Below are 19,716 nucleotides of genomic sequence, written 5' to 3'. Positions count from 1 at the left end.
TTTGGGATCTGGTATAGATAGGGACTTGGATGAAGAATACTGAAACATTTCCAAAAAAGATTCTCTAGCATGGTTTGAAGATGACAGATTAAAAAGAGGGAGTGGACTCCTGTGGAATACCTCCTTCCAAGAGTTTTACACAAAACAGGATTCTCCCCCTAATGAAGCAGAGCTGTTCATTTAGCTCCAATCTTTAAAAACAGGTTCAAAATAAGACCCAGCACAATAGTATTTCTGCTTCCAGCTATGTGATCTTAATAAGTAGGCTATTTCTCCTGGAAAAGGTAGTATATTAAGGAGGAAAAAATACACCTATATGTCCCCTAATTCCGGTAGTCATTTATGTTTGTATATCAGTACCTCACAACAACTTTATTTTAAAGAAGTCATATTACTGATAAATACAAAACACTTTTTTATTTTATTTTGGTGATGACAAAACAAAACTGTCTATACTGCACTTAGAACCTAGAACTCCTACCTAGTTTAGGAAAAACAAGTAATATGAGTTTCATTGCAAAGAGCTACTCAAATACAACTCAACAAAGGAATTAAATAGAAATTAATTTATTCATGGGGCTCAGTGTCTTATGCCTGTAATCCCAGCACTTTGGGAGGCCAAGGTGGGTGGATCACTTGAGGCCAGGAGTTTGAGACCAGCCTGGCAACATAATGAAACCTGATCTCTACTAAAAATGGCAAAAAGTTAGCCAGCATGAGGGTGCGTGCCTGTGGTCCCAGCTACTCAGGAGGCTGAGGCATGAGCATCGCTTGAACCCAGGAGCTGGAGGTTGCAGTGAGCCAAGATCGCATCACTGCACTCCAGCCTGGGCAACAGGGCGAGATTCTGTCTCAAAAAAGGAAAAAAAAGAAAATAGTTACTTTGTGCTTCTTAACTATTTAAAGGGTCAAGGTAAGCTAACATCTATCATTCATGAAAAATATTTTGTTATTTTAGGAGGACATCTCTTTGCTCATGACTACTAGGACATAATCACAAAACATCTGACCTTTTGGAGTGTGAGTAGCACTCACTACAGGAGAATGCCTGCCTGTGTTGATTTTGTTAGCTCACAAAATAGTTCTGTTTCTTTTTTTTTTTTTTCTTTTTGAGATGGAGTCTTGCTCTGTCTCCAGGCTGGAGTGCAGTGGCGCGATCTTGGCTCACCGCAACCTTCAACTCCCTGGTTCAAGCAATTCTTCTGCCTCAGGCTCCCGAATAGCTGGGACTACAGGCACCCGCCACCACACCTGGCTAATTTTTGTGTTTTTAGTAGAGACAGGGTTTCACCATGTTGGCCAGGATGGTCTCGATCTCCCGACCTCATGATCCACCCACCTCGGCCTCCCAAAGTGCTGGGATTACAGGCTTGAGCCACCGTGCCCAGCCAGTTCTGTTTCTTTAGTAAACTAATGATTAAAGCCACCAAATTGTCTGGTCACAAGCTTTTAAGGCCTAGGATTCACTAACCTAGATTTAATTGGCAGGAAATTTTTGGAGATCCCCAAAAACTAGTAAAAAGAAACAGTTCTTAGGCCAGACGCAGTGGCTCATACCTGTAATCCCAGCACTTTGGGAGGCCAAGGCGGGTAGATCACTTGAGGTCAGGAGTTCGAGACCAGCCTGGCCAACATGGCAAAACCCCGTCTATACTAAAAATACAAAAAAAATTAGCCAAGTGTGGTGGCGGGCACCTGTAATCCCAGCTACTTGGGAGTCTGAGGAAGTAGAATCACTTGAACCCGGGAGGCAGAGATTGCAATGAGCCTAGATCATGCCACTACACTCCAGCCTGGGTGACAGAGTGAGACTCCCATCTAAAAGAAAAAGGAAAAAAGAAAAAAAGAAATGGTTCTTGGGAGGGAAAGCTTGCTTATCTTTGGGACCTTCCTTTTCAAAGGATACCCTTCCTTTGGAATGTGAACAGTGGAAGGTAAACAGTTGAATATTCTGCCTCAGTTTCAGCTAAAGTCAAGTGTTATGGTTAAAGGTTAAATGCAGAGGTATTTCAAAAGCTTAGCCCAGAGAGATCTAAGCTTTGAGTCCTGCATTTTAGTCTCCTCCAGGGTTTCCACACTCTACCCAAGGAGAGGATTTGCTTTTTGGAAGATTGCCTTTCTCCATAGGGGTTCTACAAGTGCCATTGTGATTTGCAAATGCTCTCACCAGGAAAAAACAAATGTAGGTGATAAGTGATGCTTAGCTCTCCTGGTAGTTGTACCTGAGCTAAACAAGGAGAGTATTTGGACTTAATTTCAAATAATGCCCTTTCATTGGTAAGGCAGAACAGTAGCTGCTTGTGTTTGTCTCTCAGACAAAATGTACAGTATATACTGTACTGGCATTCTTGTATTCCTTTAGTTGTACTTTTCACAATTCATATTAAACTCCAAAATAGGCAAAAACTGAGGAGATAATATTATACTTATTTTTACCATTTTTAAAGAAGCAAGTTGTAAAAATTAAAGCAATTTATATACTGTATTTTAAATGATTAAAACTGGACTGGCCTTAGACATCTAGGAAAATACGCATTTTCATGTGCCAGTTCAATGGTAGAATAAGGAAAAACTACCTAAATTTCATGCAAAAATACTATAACAACTGCTCATTCCTTTGACCACTGTCTTCCTGATACTGTTAAGGTTCAGAACATATTTACATCCTACTTTACAGTGTTGGCCTCTTCAGAGATCACTGAAAACACACTAACCTGTTACCTCATACTACCCCTCAGCTGACTTTCCATTCCAGCCACACTAAGGTCTGATAAATGCAAACCTGTGTATGAACAGGGCATTTGCCTTTTACACAGCAATTCACTGCCTGATCCAACTCATTTAACTCATAAACTTGTTAACAGGTCAGACAAAAATGAAATATAGGATTGTTTGTAGCTAGGAAGAACAGCATCCTAAACAGTAACCCAAAGAACAGCTATTTGGTCAACAGATTTGCATTGGTATTTACCTTAAAGACTGGTTTATATGAAACTAAAATAGTGTAAGAGACTTTGAGGAAACCTATAGAAGACAAGTTTAGTTGTTTTATATATGTAAGGAGGAAATCAGGTTTATTGAAAACCACTGCTTATGAACCCAACCATGCCTCTTAATTTTTATTAAAATACTTGTCACTGAAATAAAGTAAGTTTTTTCAAGTTTGTCTGTTTCAGTTGTTGCCTCAGACCAGCATCCTGAATCCCCTTGACCCCCGCCCCTATTGTTCTACTGTCTCTGCTTTACCAATTCCCAAGTTAAGTGAAGCCCACCATGTTTTACTCTGTTCCTTCTAGGTTATCAAGCATAGTTACAGAAAATCATATGTTTTCATTGGACAGGGTCTGGGGCTTAGATTTAGCTCCTTGTGTTAGTTTTCTCTAGAGTAGATCTTTATAGTAGAGATGCAAATTGAAAGGAATTGAAAGTCTTGTTCTTGAAATTAGAAGCTCCACTGAGATATCCTTTTGTTGAACTGCAGATTTCGACAAAGGAGTCTGTTTTAGCTTTATAAAACCCTGCAAAAATAAGCATTCACATGGTTCCCACTAGGTATGTAAATTTGATATCCACCTATTGTATCCCATATAGAGCTGAAAGGGGCTGGGCGTGGTGGCTCATGCCTGTAATCCCAGCACTTTGGGAGGCTGAGGCAGGTGGATCACTTGAGGTTAGGAGTTCGAGACCAGCTTGGCCAACAAGGCGAAACCCTGTCTCTATTAAAAATACAAAAATTAGCCATGGTGGCAAACTCCTGTAATTCCAGCTACTCGGAAGGCTGAGGCAGGAGAATTGCTGAAACCCAGGAGCTGAAGATTACAGTGAGCTGAGATCACACCCCTGCACTCCATCCTGGGCAACAGAGCAAGACTCTGTCTTAAAAAAAAAAAAAAAATGCTGGGTGCAATGGCTCACACCTGTAATCCTAGCACTTTGGGAGGCCAAGGCGGGCGGATCACGAGGTCAGGAGATCGAGACCATCCTGGCTAACACGGTGAAACCCCGTCTCTACTAAAAATACAAAAAATTAGCCGGGCGTGGTGGTGGGTGCCTGTAGTCCCAGCTACTCAGGAGGCTGAGGCAGGGAATGGCGTGAACCCGGGAGGCAGAGCTTGCAGTGAGCTGAGATCACACCACTGCACTCCAGCCTGGGCGACAGAGCCAGACTCCATCTCAAAAAAAAAAAAAAAAAAAAACTGAAAGGGAGCTTAGAGAGTACCTGATCCAAAGCTTCATCTTACACATGAAGAAACAGGCCCTATACAAGTGTGAAACATGACAGTTTTTTAAAAGGAAATAGAACGATAAACACAAAGTTCAATATAGTGGTAATCCCTAGGGAAGAGGCCAGGATGAGGGGACCAGGAAGAAACACAGGATATTAGTAGTAGTCTGTTGGTAAGTTGGATGGTGAGTTTGTTGGTGTTTATTATGCTTCACAAGTGTGTATTAAATACTATATAATTTTAAAACACTTAAGAATAATTGTTAAAAGAGTTGCAAAGTTCTTACTATAGGCAAGTTACTGTTCTTACTTAGCATTTTATGTATTTTAACCCAGGAGGGAAAAAAAAACAGGCCCTGAAAATTTGATCCTTGCACAGCTTGTTAGTAGTGAGCTATGACCATAACCTGGGACTTCAGATTTCTAATTTACTGCTTTTATACGATTCTTCCCTAAATATTGATTCTACACTCAACTTCTCATTCTCTCAGGCTATGAGTTTCCTCCTGAACTCATTTCCACATCTGCCAGTTTAGACTCCATGATCCAGTACTTCAGTAGCCTAAACCAGCATCCTTAACCCCCGCTATTGTTCTGTCTCTGCTTTACCAATTCCCAAGTTGAGAGAAGCCCACCATCTTTTACTCTATTCCTGCTAGGTTATCAAGCATAGTTACAGAAAATCATATAACTATGCCACCTAACTCCACTGCAGATACAGATTTCTAAACTCGGGCACTCATTCCTGTTTGACTTTCAGATTTACCTGGTGGCCGTTGCAGCCCTTTTACTATTCTCAACTTCGTAGTCCCTACTTTCCATCCTCCACTATCAGGAGATGACATTGACTTTACCTCCAACTTTTTTGAACTCCTGGGCTCAAGCCATCCTCCCAAGTAGCTAGAGCTACAGGTGTGTGCCACCATACTCAGCTACTTTTTAAAAAGAATTTTTAGAGATGTGGTCTTAGTATATTGCCCAGGCTAGTCTCAAACTCCTGACCTCAAATGATCCTCAACCTCAGCCTCCCAAAGTACTGGGATTACAGGCATGAGCCACCACACCTGGTCTTGATTTCCTTGAGAAGGTACTGGTCATTGACCTTAACTTACTCTTTAACTCTTATAGCACCTCTTTTTCCTTTATCTCAGTATACTTCTGGCTGGGCACGGTTGCTCACGACTGTAATCCTAGCACTTTGGGAGGCCAAGGCAGGCGGATCACTTGAGGTCAGGAGTTCGAGACCAGCCTGGCCAACATAGTGAGACCCCCATCTCTACTAAAAATACAAAAAATTAGCTAGGCGTGGTGGTGCATGCCTGTAATCCCAGCTATTTGGGAGGTTGAGGCAGGAGAATCGCTTGAACCTGGAAGGCAGAGGTTGCAGTGAGCCAAGATGGTGCCACTGCACTGCAGCCTGGGCAACAGAGCAAGACTGTCTCAAAAAAAAAAAAAAGTATACTTCCTCTACAAGGCTAACTTTGTCTGTGAACTTTGTACTGCATCACATTGTATTATCTATTGCTACATAACCAATTTCCCCAAAACATAGTGTATTAAAACAATAATAAACATTACTCTCATAATGTCTGTGGATAAGGAATTTGGGAGTTACTTAGCTGAGTAATCCTGGTTTGGGGTCTTTCATGTAGATGCAGTCAAGAGTCAGCCAGGGCTGGGCACAGTGGCTCACACCTGTAATCGCGCATCCCAGCACTTTGGGAGGCCAAAGTGGGCAGATCACTTGAGGTCAGGAGTTTGAGACTAGCCTGGCCAACATGGTGAGACCCTGTCTCTACTAAAAATACAAAAACTGGCCAGGGATAGTGGCATGCACCTGTAATCCCAGCCACTTGGGAGGCTGAGGCAGAAGAATTGCTTGAACCCAGGAGGTGGAGGTTGCAGTGAGCTGAGATCGTACCACTGCACTCCAGCCTGGGCGACAGAGCGAGACTCTGTCTAAAAAAAAACAGAAAGAGTCAGCCAGGGCTGCCATTTCTGAAGACTTGACTGAGGTGGGACGATTTGCTTCTTAAGTGGCTCACTTACATGCCTGGCAATTCAAGGCCTCAGTTGCTCCCCATGCGGGACTCTACAAAGCCTGCGAGTATCCTTACAACATGTCAACTGACTTCCCCCATGGTGGGCAATTTAAGAGCAAGGTGGAAGCTGTAAATTATTTTATGACCTAACTTCAGAAGTCACGCTACATCATTTCACAATATGCTTTTGGTTACACTGGTGAGCCCTTTTCATTGTGGGAGGGGACTTTACAGGAACATGAATGCCAGGAGGCAAGAATCAATGGGGGGCTGTCTTGAAGGCAGTCTACTACACTGAGCTTCTCCTATCCTCCAATATCTTCCATAAGTCAATTCCTCTCTCCTCTTTAGCTTTTTTTTCTTTGAGATAGGGCCACACTCTGTCACCCAGGCTGGAGTGTAGGGGTGCTATCATACTTCATTGCAACCTCAAACTCCTGGGCTCAAGCAATCTTCCCACCTTCCATGACTGGTCTTTCTTTCTTTTTTTTTTTTCTTTTTTTTTTTTGGTAGAGATGGGATCTCACTATGTTGCCCAGGCTGGTCTCAAACTCCTGGCCTCACGTGATCCTCCCATCTCAGCCTCCCAGAGTGTTGGGATTACAGGTGTGAGCCACCATACCCAACCCTCTTCTCTTTAAATTAACTCTACTCTTTCCTTAACTCTTTCAGCTATGAAAATGTTTATGTTTATTTTTTAAAATATATACCCTGTTCTCCATATTAATCAGGGTTTGGTTGCAGAGAACAGAATCGATTCTAGCTAGATTAAGCAGTAAAGGACTTATTACTAGGGCATCAAATGGATGGATCACAGAATTCTGGGGAAGGCTGAAGAAACAAACTCTAGACTGGACTTCCAGAAATGATTCCTAAAGACTGCTAAGGGAGGCCAGTCGTGGTGGCTCACACCTGTAATACCAGCACTTTGGGAGGCCAAGGTGGGCAAATTGCTTGAGCCCAGGAGTTGGAGACCAACCTGGGCAACATAGTGAAACCCTGTCTCCACTAAAAATACAAAAATTAGCTGGGGTATGGTGGCATGCGCCTGCAGTCCCAGCTACTCAAGAGGCTGAAATGGAAGGATTGCCTGAGCTCAGGAAACGGAGGTTTCAGTAAACCGAGATCTTACTACTGCACTCCAGCCTGGGTGAGAGAGTGAGATCCTGCCTCAAAAAAGAAACTGCTAATCAGGCCGGGCACGGTGGCTCACACCTGTAATCCCAGCACTTTGGGAGGCCGAGGCAAGTGGATCACCTGAGGTCAGGAGTTCAAGACCAGCCTGACCAACACGGTGAAGCCCCGTCTCTACGAAAAATACACAAAAATTATCCAGGCGTGGTGGTGGGTGCCTGTAATCCCAGCTACTCAGGAGGCTGAGACATGAGAATTGCTTGAACCCAGGAGGTAGAGGTTGCAGTGAGCTGCACTCCAGCCTGGACAACAGAGTGAAACTCCGTCTCAAAAAAAAAAAAAAGACTGCTAAAGGAGCTGCTACCGCTTCTACTATATTTAGGAAGCTTCTACTACATTCAAGAAGCTTCTACAATAGTTAGGAAGCTGCCATTGCAGCTGCTAGTCCAAGAAGTAACCACCTCTGCCACTGTCAGCATCCCTAAATGGATGCCCTGCACCCCGTCTTAACCCCTGCTGGCTTCAGAATCCAAGTGAAACACTAGTGCATCTGATTAGCAGAACTTAATTCAGAAGTGATTTAAGATAGCTAGCTAGAAGAGAATGTGGGAAATTTAGTCTTTAGCTTTCCAGCTTCTGCACACTAGAAGAGTGTGCATTCTGACCAAACAAATACATAAAATCCTTCACACTCCCACTGAAGCAATTACGACTTCGGTGCCAAGTTTTTTGAAAGAGTTGTCTATACCTGGTCTTAAATTCCCACTTACTCCTTAATCCATTGCAATCTGGCCACTCTATTACCATCATCACCACCCAATCCCCTATTTGCAGGACCAGTGGTCCGTTTTAGTCCTGCTCCCTGAAGCATTCAACAGTAGCAGATTGTTTCTTGTGATGCTTGTGATAGTGGTCATATCAATGTTGTTCATGAAAGAATTAGCTGGGGCACTGGGCGCAGTGGCTCACGCCTGTAATCCCAACACTTTGGGAGGCCGAGGCAGGTGGACCACTTGAGGTCAGGAGTTCAAGACCAGCCTGGCCAACATGGTGAAACCCCATCTCTACTAAAAAGTGCAAAAATTAGCCAGGCATGATGGTGCCCGCCTGTAATCCCAGCTACTCGAGAGGCTGAGACAGGAAAATCACTTGAACCCAGGAGGCAGAAGTTGCGGTGAGCTCAGATCATGCGACTGCACTCCAGCCTGGGCGACAGAGCAAGGAGATCAGTCTCAAAAAAAATGAATTACTTGGAGCCATCTTCCTCAAAGGGGCCTTGGACTTGAAGGGAATTAGAGCTTCAGCTGTCACCTAGACTCGCCCTTCCTTGTACATGACTAATCCAGATTAATGATGTTACTGTTCTCTCAGTCTTTTCAGAATTCCCTCACATTCAATTAGCCACCAAATCCTGGCATTTAAATACCAAAGATGACTTCCGAAGCCAACCAGTTCGTTGCATCTCCATCACCACTACTCTATTTCAGATCATTACCTTTGCCCGAACTATTGCAGCAGCTAGTCTTTTAGCCACTAGGTTTTCCTCATTCAGTTTATCTTCCACCTGCCATAGCACAACTTTCATGATATTTAATTGTTCTTAATTTACCCAGTAATAGTAAATAGCAGGCCGGGCATGGTGGCTCATGTTGGTAATCCCAACACTTTGGGAGGCTGAGGCAGGAGGATCACTTGAGCCCAGGAGTTCACAACCAACCTGTGCAACATAAAGAGACCTTGTCTCTACTAAAAATAAAAAAATTTAGCCAAGCATAGTGGCAAATACCTGTAGTCTCAGCTACTTGGAAGGCTGAGGCGGGAGGATGGCTTGACCCCAGGAGTTAGAAGCTACAGTGACCTGTGTTCACACCATTGCACTCCAGCATGGGTAACAGAGTGAGGCCCTGGCTAAAATAAATAAATAAATAAAAGAGTAATAGCAAAGGCTTATGAGCACTTGGTATGCACCAAGTACTATACAATGTACTTCATATGCATGTCACATTTAATTCCACATAATAAAGTGGATACTGTGCCTACAAGTAAAGATACAAGTCCTTCCTTGATAAATAAGGAAGCTGAAAGTCCTCAAACTTACAAGATTTGACCAGAGTTGTTTAGTTACTATATGGAGAAACCAGAACTGGAGTCATGTCTGCTACCCCTAAAGGCAGCACTCTTAACCCCACTGTATTTTATGATTGCTACAGCCTCATCTCTCCCCATCCTATTCATAGTCTAGCCATGGCGAACTCACCGTCTTTCTAATATATGGTGGTCTTTAATAACCATACCTCAGCACATCTTGTTTCCTGAAATGCACTTGTTCCCTCCCCTTCCCAATGCCTTTCTGCTTAGCATATTCCTATTCCACCTTCAATTCCAACTTAAATGTTACCTCTGGAGTAATTTTTCCAAGTTCCCTGTTCTATGCTCCTACTTTTCCCCATTCATACTTTTTTTTTCTTTTTTTTTGAGACGGAGTCTCGCTCTGTGGCCCAGGCTGGAGTGCAGTGGTGTGATCTCGGCTCACTGCAAGCTCCACCTCCCGAGTTCACGCCATTCTCCTGCCTCAGCCTCCCGAGTAGCTGGGACTACAGGCACCTGCCACCAAACCCGGCTAATTTTTTGTACTTTTAGTAGAGACGGGGTTTCACTATGTTAGCCAGGATGGTCTCGATCTCCTGACCTTGTGTCCGCCTGCCTTGGCCTCCGCTGGGATTACAGGCATGAGTGCTGGGATTACAGGCATGTAAGTGCTGGGATTACAGGCATGAGCCACCGCGCCTGGCCCGTTCACTCTTTTTTTAATAATACTTACTGAGTTGTGTTGTAATTAGCTTCTTAATGCTTGTATCTTTCAGGGTTTAGAAGGAAACAGAAACCACTCTTGATATTTTAAGCAGAAAGGGAATTTAATATAGAAAATTAGGTACTTACAAAATCATTTGAATAGCTGAAGGAGCAGGCTATATGTGAGACCTCTAGGAATGACTCTCAGAACACTACTGAACTAACTCACCAAAGGAGCTACAGCCTCTGATGACCACTGGAATACTAAGTTTAAGAAGATAGCACCATAGCTACAATCTAGAGATCAGGAAACTGCCACACAGTCCAACAACATATGTAATATCAGACTTTTTATAGAGCTACTGACTAATGTAAACATCCAAGTACATGGTCCACAGAAGAGAGAATAAAGGAAACTGGATAATCAGTACCTGGAGCATTGAGAGTTTGCTCTAGGGTGTGTTGGGGTTTTTGAATGTTTACTTTCATAATAAGATTGAAGTAAATGATGAGTTAATGGGTGCAGCACACCAGCATGGCACATGTATACATATGCAACTAACCTGCACATTGTGCACATGTACCCTAAAACTTAAAGTATAATAATAATAAAAGAAAAAAAAAAGAAGAAAAAAAGATTGAGGTAAGTCTCTCTTTTTTTTTTTGGAAGGAAATTAGTTATTTTCAAAGCTCAGAGAAATATGTACCATATGCCAAACCACCCCCCAAACCACCCCCACAAAAAAAAAAACTGTTACTATAGTAGTTGAGTACTAAATGGACAGGCAAACCTACTTGACAAAAGTGGTTATACCCAGGCACAGTGGCTCAAGCCTGTAATCACAACCCTTTAGGTGGCCAGCGTGGGAGAATCACTTGAGGCCAGGAGTTCAAGACCAGCCTCAGCAACATAGCGAGACCGTCTCCACGAGAAAAAAAAAAATTTAAAAATTAGCCAGGCATGGTGGCATTTGCCTATAGTTCCAGCTACAGACTGAGGCGAGAGGATCCCTTGAGCCCAGGAGTTTCAGGCTGCAGTGAGCTATAATTGCACTATTGCACTCCAGCCTGGCCAACAGAATGAAACCCTGTCTCAAAAAAAGTGATTATGAAAGCAGTTGAGAGGTAACATTGAACTAGCAGTCAGACAAACATATTGAGTCTAAGATGAGCCCTGTGACCTTGGAAATGTCAGTTAAACATTCTGTGCCTTAATCCTGTCTTCTATAAAATGAACAAATTGAACTAGATGACCTGTAAGGTTCAGTCCAACAATAAAATTTCATGTTTTTTAGTTATTCAATTGAAAAAAAGTATTTTTATAATGAAAAGGAAAATTATGCAACCATTTCTAGGGCTTGCTTTACTTTTGATCATTCTGTAAAATTTTCCTGTCAACCTTAAAATATTCTCTGAGGCCATCCAGATGAGGTGAGAGAAGCAGTGGGAGGAGAAAGTAACCTAGAAAAGGAAGGGTTTTTGCCCTGACCATATTGAGTCAAATGTAGTTTTTTTAAACACACAGAGCAGCTTTGGAGTTCCCTAATTTCCCAATTGGGGGTTTTAGTTAATCTGTCCCCAGAAGTTAAGCAGGGAAAAAATTCTTCAAAGAACCATCACTGATTCTAGGAGCTGGAAGGGCTCATCACAACCTCAAAAGCTAGGCTTGTTACCAAAAAAAAAAAAAAAGTACATTGAAAGTGTCCTCTAGGCTATGTTAGCTGGGCCAGAGATTAAATGGAGCTTTCCGCTAAGTCCCTGCAACTTCCTCTGGGCTATTTGAGGTACTTGCTGAGTTTTTGCCCTAATTTCTTTTTTTCCTTCAAGACTTGCCCTTCATTCTCTTGCTTCTCCGGTGTGAACTGCTTTTCAGAACATTTTCAGACAAACCTTCAGATGTTAGCGGAGGGACAGTTTGCCAGTACTGTTTTGTTGTTGTTATTTCCCCAAAAATAGAGACGATCCAGGAGCGACTGCTGCTGTCTTCAGAGGATGCTGTGGTATTACATAGCCCTTGATTTCTCCCCTGCCAATATGCTTTTTTATTGTGCTTCAAAGCTTGTTTACTAACTCCAGCTTAGTCCCTTGACTCTCCTCCCTTACCCTGCCCCATGCATTGTGCATGTCAAAAGGTAGAAAAAAATAACAGCTGCTTCTCAGCCCTCTCCTTTGAAGAACTGCAGAATCACCAGGGCTAACATGTCAAATTGTACAGCCTTAACCAAACCTTTGCACAGAGATGTTTCAGGTTAGGAGAAAGGAAAAAAAATTTTTTTTAATGTAATAGCCTCTTTTCTAAGGGCTTTTAACAGACAGGCCCCAGGGCTACCTCTCCTTGCTGCAGAATATATAAATAAATAAGTGAATGAGCAGGGTTTAGTTCTTAGCCAAGAACGATAGAAACCCCAGTGTTGTATCTGTTGCTATGTGGAGCCAATTAAATGAGATGGACACACGAAGATTTGTTTTAGTTACAGCCCTACCATAATACCATTCATAATCAAAGGCAGTGTTTCCCAAAGCATAGTTCAACTGTCACCTACATCACAATTATTTTAGGGGCTTGCTTTAAAAATGCAGATTCCTAGGCTTTGATCCAGGTTTCCTGAATCAGAATATTTGGAAGCAGCACACAGGCATCTATTTTTAGCAGTACCCCTTATATTAATTCGTATGCACAATAGTTTCTGAAACCACATATTATTGAATGAAGGCTTTTAGGAATATACTAAAATACTAAAATTAGGAAGGAAGATAATTATACTATTTGAATTTTTAAGGACCCAAGTTCTTTAAAAATCTACACACAAATCACAAAGTAAAGAGTATAGGGGCTGGGCGAAGTGGCTCATTCCTGTAATCCCAGCACTTTGGAAGGCCAAGGCGGGTGGATCACTTGAGGTCAGGAGTTCAAGACCAGCCTAGCCAACATGGTGAAACCCTGTCTCTACTAAAAATACAAAAATTAGCCGGGCGTGGTGGCGGATGCCTGTAATCCCATCTACTCAGGAGGATGAAGCAGGAGAATCGCTTAAGCACAGGAAGCAGAAATTGCAGTGAGCTGAAATCATGCCACTGCACTCTAGCCTGGGCATCAAAGCAAGACTCTGTATCAAAATAAAAATAAAAGCATAGTAGTGATTAAGAACATGAAGATAATAAAAGTATAGTATTTATCTCATAAGATCATTTAAAGGTATAAGTGGGAAAAATGCATTAAAGTTTTTAAGAGTTTTGTTTTTTTGCTTTTATTTTTTTGAGACGGAGTCTTGTACTGTTGCCCAGGCTGGAGTGCAGGGGCACAATCACGGCTCACTGCAAGCTCCGCCTCCCAGGTTCACGCCATTCTCCTGCCTCAGCCTCCCGAATAGCTGGGACTACAGGCGCCCGCCACCACGCCCGGCTAATTTTTTGTACTTTTTTAGTAGAGATGGGATTTCACCGTGTTAGCCAGGATGGTCTTGATCTCCTGACCTCATGATCCACCCGCCTCAGCCTCCCAAAGTGCTGGGATTACAGGCGTGAGCCACCGCGCCCAGCCTCAGTTTTTAAGAGTTTTAACGGTAAACACTCAATATATCTTAACTATAATGAATAAACTGAAGATACGTAATACAGAAATGACATGAACTGTATGTAGCATAAGATGATCCCCAACATTGTCTTAATTTCTTCTTGACTCCTTCCCTTTAAAACAAAAATTTGAAAGATATTTAAAGGGCATGTTTTAAGTGAAAACCAGACATCCAAAAAATAAAAAAGAAATGACTGCTTCTTACTTAACCATGTTAGATGTTCAGCTGGAGAAGGAGAGTAAATTTCTGGATCTGATGTAAATTGTTTTCCTAGTGCTGTAACCTCCATAAATTGATATTATTGTGCACCCTGATCAATTTTGAGGATATGTATTGACATCGTCCCCATTTCACCAATAAAGGATTCATTTGAGAGCTGTCACTACTTATATACAACCTTCACTTCTGAAGATATAGCCCAGGGACTTTGGTGAATAGCTAGCCCATGGTTTCAGCATGGACAAAATGATTGTTAATGGGTTCTAATGGAATTGTCTTTGCTAATGAGCATAGGAAGAGAACTGCTGGTGGATGTGAAAAGAACAGTAGAGGACACCCCCAGTGTCTCCCATATCTGAGTCAGGTGGCAGACAGAGAGACGAGGAAAAGGCAATTCTTTAAGATTGCTTTCCCCTTGCCCTAAGGCTAACAAGGACCCTCTGATCTAACCCCACCTACCTGCTGTTTTCTGTCTATGAGCATAGGAGGTGAATAGAGTTTAACCAACCTATATCCAGAGCAACTGAAGCAAGGAAGTGAGGCTCTTGATCTAACCCCTGAGATGTGTTTTGTTTTGTTTTGTTTTGTTTTGTTTTGTTTTGTTTTGTTTTGTTTTGTTTTTTTGAGACAGCGTCTTGCTCTGTCGCCCAGGCTGGAGTGCAATGGCATAATCTCGGCTCACTGCAACCTCCGCCTCCCGGGTTCGAGCACTTCTCCTGCCTCAGCCAACAGAGTAGCTGGGATTACAGGCACGCGCTATCACGCCTGGCTAGTTTTTGTATTTTTAGTAGAGAAGCGGGTTTCACCACGTTGGCCAGGCTGGTCTCGAACTCCTGATCTCAGGAGACCCACCCACCTCAGCCTCCTAAAGTGCTGGGATTACACTTGTGAGCCACTGCACCTGGCCAACAGATTTTTTTGAGAAAGCAGTGTATGGGGGAAATTGTACCCAAGTCTCCCTAGTACCCAGTCTCCCTGAAAAGGCAGTCAATCTGCCCCCATAGCTTCAACAAATTCTGAGAGGGAATGATTTAACCTTGGGATAAATGTAGAGTATTGATGAGGTTTTTTTAGACTCTATGCTAGTTCTAAAGAAAAAAACTGAGACAGTGTTGTCAACCTCCTTGGTGTCCAGTAGGTGGAGATATAGTCTAAGGTTGTCTGGGACTGCAGTGGAAATTTTAGGGCACTAGATAGCTTCCAGAGTCTTCTGAAGTCTGTGGGAAAGAGTAAGCAGCGTGCCTTTTCTGCTTCCCAGTCCACTCATCCTAACCCACACATACCTCACTTCTCTGCCTTCCCATTCTTAGACACTTTGGCTGAGACGGAGGTACATACCACGTAGGGAGGAGTGACATCAAGAACTCTACAGTGGGGGAAAGTTGGGAAGAGAGAGATCACAGAGACATTTGAAGAACTTTCCTGAAGTCCAGGTCCTGTGCTATTCAGCACAGATTCTAGGTTGGCAGTAAGGTGTCCTCCCTTCTGCCAATCTGGAAATGCCAGTATCTTAAATCCATGGAGGGACCACCCTCCTAAAATTCTCACACATACACAAATCTAAAAGTGACACAAACCGGGAACAGCAGACCAGACAAGATGCACTATAGGTATTCAGCCAGCCATCTGGCATCAAGTTAATGCATGAGTGGACACCCTGCCTGCCAATGGGCACTAGGCCATGACCACCAGTTGGGTACAATCAGCCTGCCAAGGTGAAGGGCATCCCACAGCATTGCACCTATCAGCTTCCCTGCCACAAACTGAATGGAGCTCAGAACTTGAGAGACCTCCTGCCTGTAGAGAAATAGACTCAGTTCCTCATTGAAAACAACAGAGGAAAGAGAGGCAGGGAAAGGGGGCAATGCTCTATTTTGCCTGAAAATAGTAGCAAAGTCTCTTCGTCCTATCCTTGGAAAAGAAAAGTCTGGAAATTGACCCTTCCCAACCCAGAACTGGAAGTTGGGAGTCAGTAGGATAAAATGGTATGTTATTTTATCCTACTGAATGAAAGCAAATGTGGCATGATGGAAAGAGCTGACTTGGAATAAAGACACCTGAATTCTATCCCACATCAGCTGTATGACCTTGGGCAAGTCATTCCCTTTCTCTGGGCCTTGCTTAAAATGAGGACATTGGGCTAGATGATATCTAGAATATTGTCCTCCTCCAACATCTGCTGTTCAGTTCTGAGAAGTAATGACTTTGCCTTGTTGAAGTTGACCAGTCTAGCACCCACAGAACCCCATGTGACCCCAGACATAAGCTATGTCTGAGCTAAGGGAACCGAGTACTAAAGGAGTGGGAAAATGAAAGTTCTGAGCTCCCAATGTCCCTTTCCCACTATCTGTTTCCCACCACTGGGGACCCACTACAGGGATTTGAATATCAGAGATCCAGATCTCCTAATCTTTTGTAGAGTGAGAAGGCTGGAGGCTCCAGTCAGCCTTGTAACCAAAAGAATCTAAAACTACTATTTTAAAAAGAAAGTGATGCTCATCTGGGTAATATTCATTATATTAATATGTATCAAAGCCAGGCGCAGTGGTTCACAACTGTAATCCCAGCACTTTGGAAGGCCAAGACAGGAGGATTGCTTGAGGCTGGGAGTTTAAGACCAGCCTGGCCAACATAGCAAGAGCCCTGTCTCTACAAAAAGTAAAATTAGGCCGGGCGCGGTAGCTCACACCTGTAATCCCAGCACTTTGGGAGGCTGAGGTGGGTGGATCACCTGAGGTCAGGAGTTCAAGACCAGCCCAACCAACATGGTGAAACCCCGTCTCTACTTAAAAAAAAAAAAATCCACAAGTTAGCCAGGCGTGGTGGCAGGTGCCTGTAATCTCAGCTACTCTGGAGGCTGAGGCAGGAGAATGGCTTAAACCCAAAAGGTGGAGGTTACAGTGAGCCAAGATCGTGTCATTGCACTCCAGCCTGGAAGACAAGAGTGAAACTCCATCTCAAAAAAAGAAAAAAAAAAAGTAAAATTAGCCAGGTATGGTGTCACATGCCTGTAGTCCCACCTACTCAGGAGGCCTAAGTGAGAGGATGGTATGAGCCCAGGAGTTTGAGGTTGCAGTGAGCTATGATCAGGCCACTGCACTTCAGCCTGAGTAACAGAGTAAGATCCCATCTTTAAATATATAGAGATAAATTTTGGGTCTAAGGCCGATATGTCTCTGATCTCTGCTCCACTGCCCACCCAACCCCACCACCGCCACCACCAGCAGCTGCCCTTTCTCACTAGAGTCTCTTCCTGCCCCTTTATATTTGCAATGGGCTGACTCTGTTAATTCTTCCTGCCTGTTGAGTGTTCACCTGGTCCCTGGTAAAGGACCTGTGCCTGAATTTATCCTGTGAAGAGAGGAATGCCTTTACTTTCCCTCCAGACATTGATTCACTTCCTTTGCCCAGGTGAGTTTCCATAGGATATTGGAAACATTCCATTTACCAGAGCTTTCATATACAACCAGGCTGAAGAAAATATTCAACTATTGAGAACAGAGAATTTGGGGAGATTCCAGTATGACAAGTAACAATAGTCATCTGAGAACTGAGTTCTACCACTTGTCCTCACCTCCACCCTGAGAAATCTTAAATGCCCTCAGGGAAGAAAAGCTAGTCAGACTAATTAATATCTTGTTTTCTCTCATTGAGTTGCCTTATGCTGAATTTCAAAGAGAATATCATTTCACTTCTTATGTATCAGATGTTGTAGTATGCTCTAATCACCTAGGTTAGGGGTGGGAGAGTAGTTGATATAATAACTTGAGGTAAAATAAGTAAGACATGAATCTTACTTTCAAGAAATTTATGGTATATATTATCTATACATAAGAAGTTACCCCCAGGATGTAGTTACTTGAAACAACAATAAATATTTATTCTCTCTCTCAGTTTCTGTGGGTCAAGAATTCAAGAGCAGTTTAGCGAAGCAGTTCTGCCTTGATGTCTCTCTTGAAGTTGTAGTCAAGATGTCAACTAGGCTTGTAGTTATCTGAAAGCTTGACTGGGGTTGACCACTCTGTACTGCAAGCTGGTTCACTCACATGGATAGCAAGTTGGTGCTGGCTTTTGGTGGAAGGCCTCAGTTTCTCTCCACATTGGCCTCTCCATAGGGCTGCTTGGTGGCTGGCAAGAGATCCAAGAGAGAGACCATGGTGGAAACTGCAATGTCTCTTATGATTTCATGTTAGAAGTTACACATGTCACTTCTACAGTATTGTGTTGGTTACATGGGCCAGCCATCATTCAGTGTAGGAAGAGAAAACACAAAGGGCATGAATACCAAGAGAGGAGGGTCAATGAGGCCATCTTGGAGGCTACCACATAATCTATCTGGGATTTCAAAGTTATGATAAAAAGTAACGCTAAATAGAAGAGCTAGTATGTTTATAAACCTACAAGAACTTTGAATATGCTCATGATAGAATAAATTTCATAGTTTTTCACAAAATGCCATTGAATAAGTGACTTCAGTAAACGCTATTTTCATTGAAACTTGGTTTTTTTTTTTGCACTCCTTGAAAACATTCTTCAGAGTAGGCTAAGGGATTTAATGAATTATATGGTTATCTTAATTTTCATTCAAAGGATGTTAGCCATGCTGCTATAACAAAGAAACCCACAAATATAGTGACCCTCTTACTTCAAATAAAGTAATAGTACAGAGATATATGGAGCAGATGGTCTTTGGTAGAAAAGGCTTGCATCTCTGGGTCCATGGTGGCTGCTTAATGTGTCACCATGTCATAGCAAGCAGAAGGATGAAAGAGTGAGAGAGCAACTACTTTTCCTCTTTAAAGACATGACCCAGAAGTTACACACATTGCTTCACTCACATTCCATTGACCAGAACGTAGTTATGGGACCACCTGTAATTGCAAGACAGACTGGACAGTGTAGTATCTAGCTGGCAGCCATGCACCCTGCTAAGATTTAGTGTGTGGATAGCAGGGTAGCAGAGTCATATTATTAAAAGGAAGAAGAGACAGGATGATGAGAATGAGTGGTCTCTGCCACACTTATAAAATATAATTTGTGGGGACAGGTCAGGTGACAAAAGTTAACAAGTAATTGGACCACATCTCTGGATCCAATTCAATAATTAGATGCAAATTAAAAACATGATAGTAAGAAACGCTATCTTGCTAGAAGACTACGTTGTAAAAAACAATGTCACACAATTCAGAAATTAGTTTTGTAATGTTGCTGTGTTATGTTTACCATTGCTTTAAAAACAGGTTCAGTTTATTCAAATATTTGTTTAGCCAGGCAACGTACTTGGCAGTGGAAAAACAGAAGTAAACAAGATCCTTACCTCACAGAACTTAGTCTAAAAGGAGAGACAAACAGGAAAATACAATATAGTGGGGTAGATGCTGTGACTAGTGAAATCAGGAGTACTGGGTGGGGAATTAATGAATGCTTCTTGGAGGAATCAGTGTTTGTGCTGAGACTTGATCTATAAAATACATTCCATTCAATCCCAGCTACCCGGGAGGCTAAGGCACGAGAAACACTTGAAACCCAGGAGGCAGAGGTTGCAGTGAGCCAAGATCACGCCACTGCACTCCAGCCTGGGCGACAGAGTGAGACTCCATCTCAAAAAAACAAAACAAAAAACAACATTACAGAGAGCACATCAGAGTTTAAATAGATTTCAGATTTATCAACAGACAGAATGAGGCTTTAATATTTATAACCAAGTACTGTAACCATACATATAGTA

At 42.7% G+C, this 19,716-nt stretch overlaps 1 long non-coding RNA gene across 3 annotated transcripts in view, besides 1 other annotated feature; it reads right to left on the bottom strand.

Moving 5' to 3' along the window:
• Positions 1-19,716, bottom strand: part of GPR84-AS1 (GPR84, ZNF385A, ITGA5 and GTSF1 antisense RNA 1) — a 113,340-nt gene that overhangs the window by 12,083 nt on the left and 81,541 nt on the right. Inside the window, exon 3 of one of the 3 annotated variants that reach the window (NR_120488.1) lies at positions 17,841-18,116. The exons of the other annotated variants lie outside the window; for them this stretch is intronic. This is a non-coding gene — a long non-coding RNA (GPR84, ZNF385A, ITGA5 and GTSF1 antisense RNA 1). Of the gene's footprint in view, positions 1-17,840; positions 18,117-19,716 lie in introns of those variants that run through there. 3 annotated transcript variants of the gene reach the window in all.
• Positions 6,307-6,507: a silencer, noted in NCBI's record as "peak1738 fragment used in MPRA reporter construct". NCBI's record gives its function as "represses an SCP1 promoter by STARR-seq MPRAs in K562 erythroleukemia cells {active_cell/tissue: K562}" and the evidence as "EXISTENCE:reporter gene assay evidence [ECO:0000049][PMID:32103011]".

Source organism: Homo sapiens, chromosome 12 (assembly GCF_000001405.40).
Source record: "Homo sapiens chromosome 12, GRCh38.p14 Primary Assembly".
Classification (NCBI taxonomy): Eukaryota; Metazoa; Chordata; class Mammalia; order Primates; family Hominidae; genus Homo; species Homo sapiens.
This window is presented reverse-complemented; position numbering and strand designations above follow the sequence as displayed.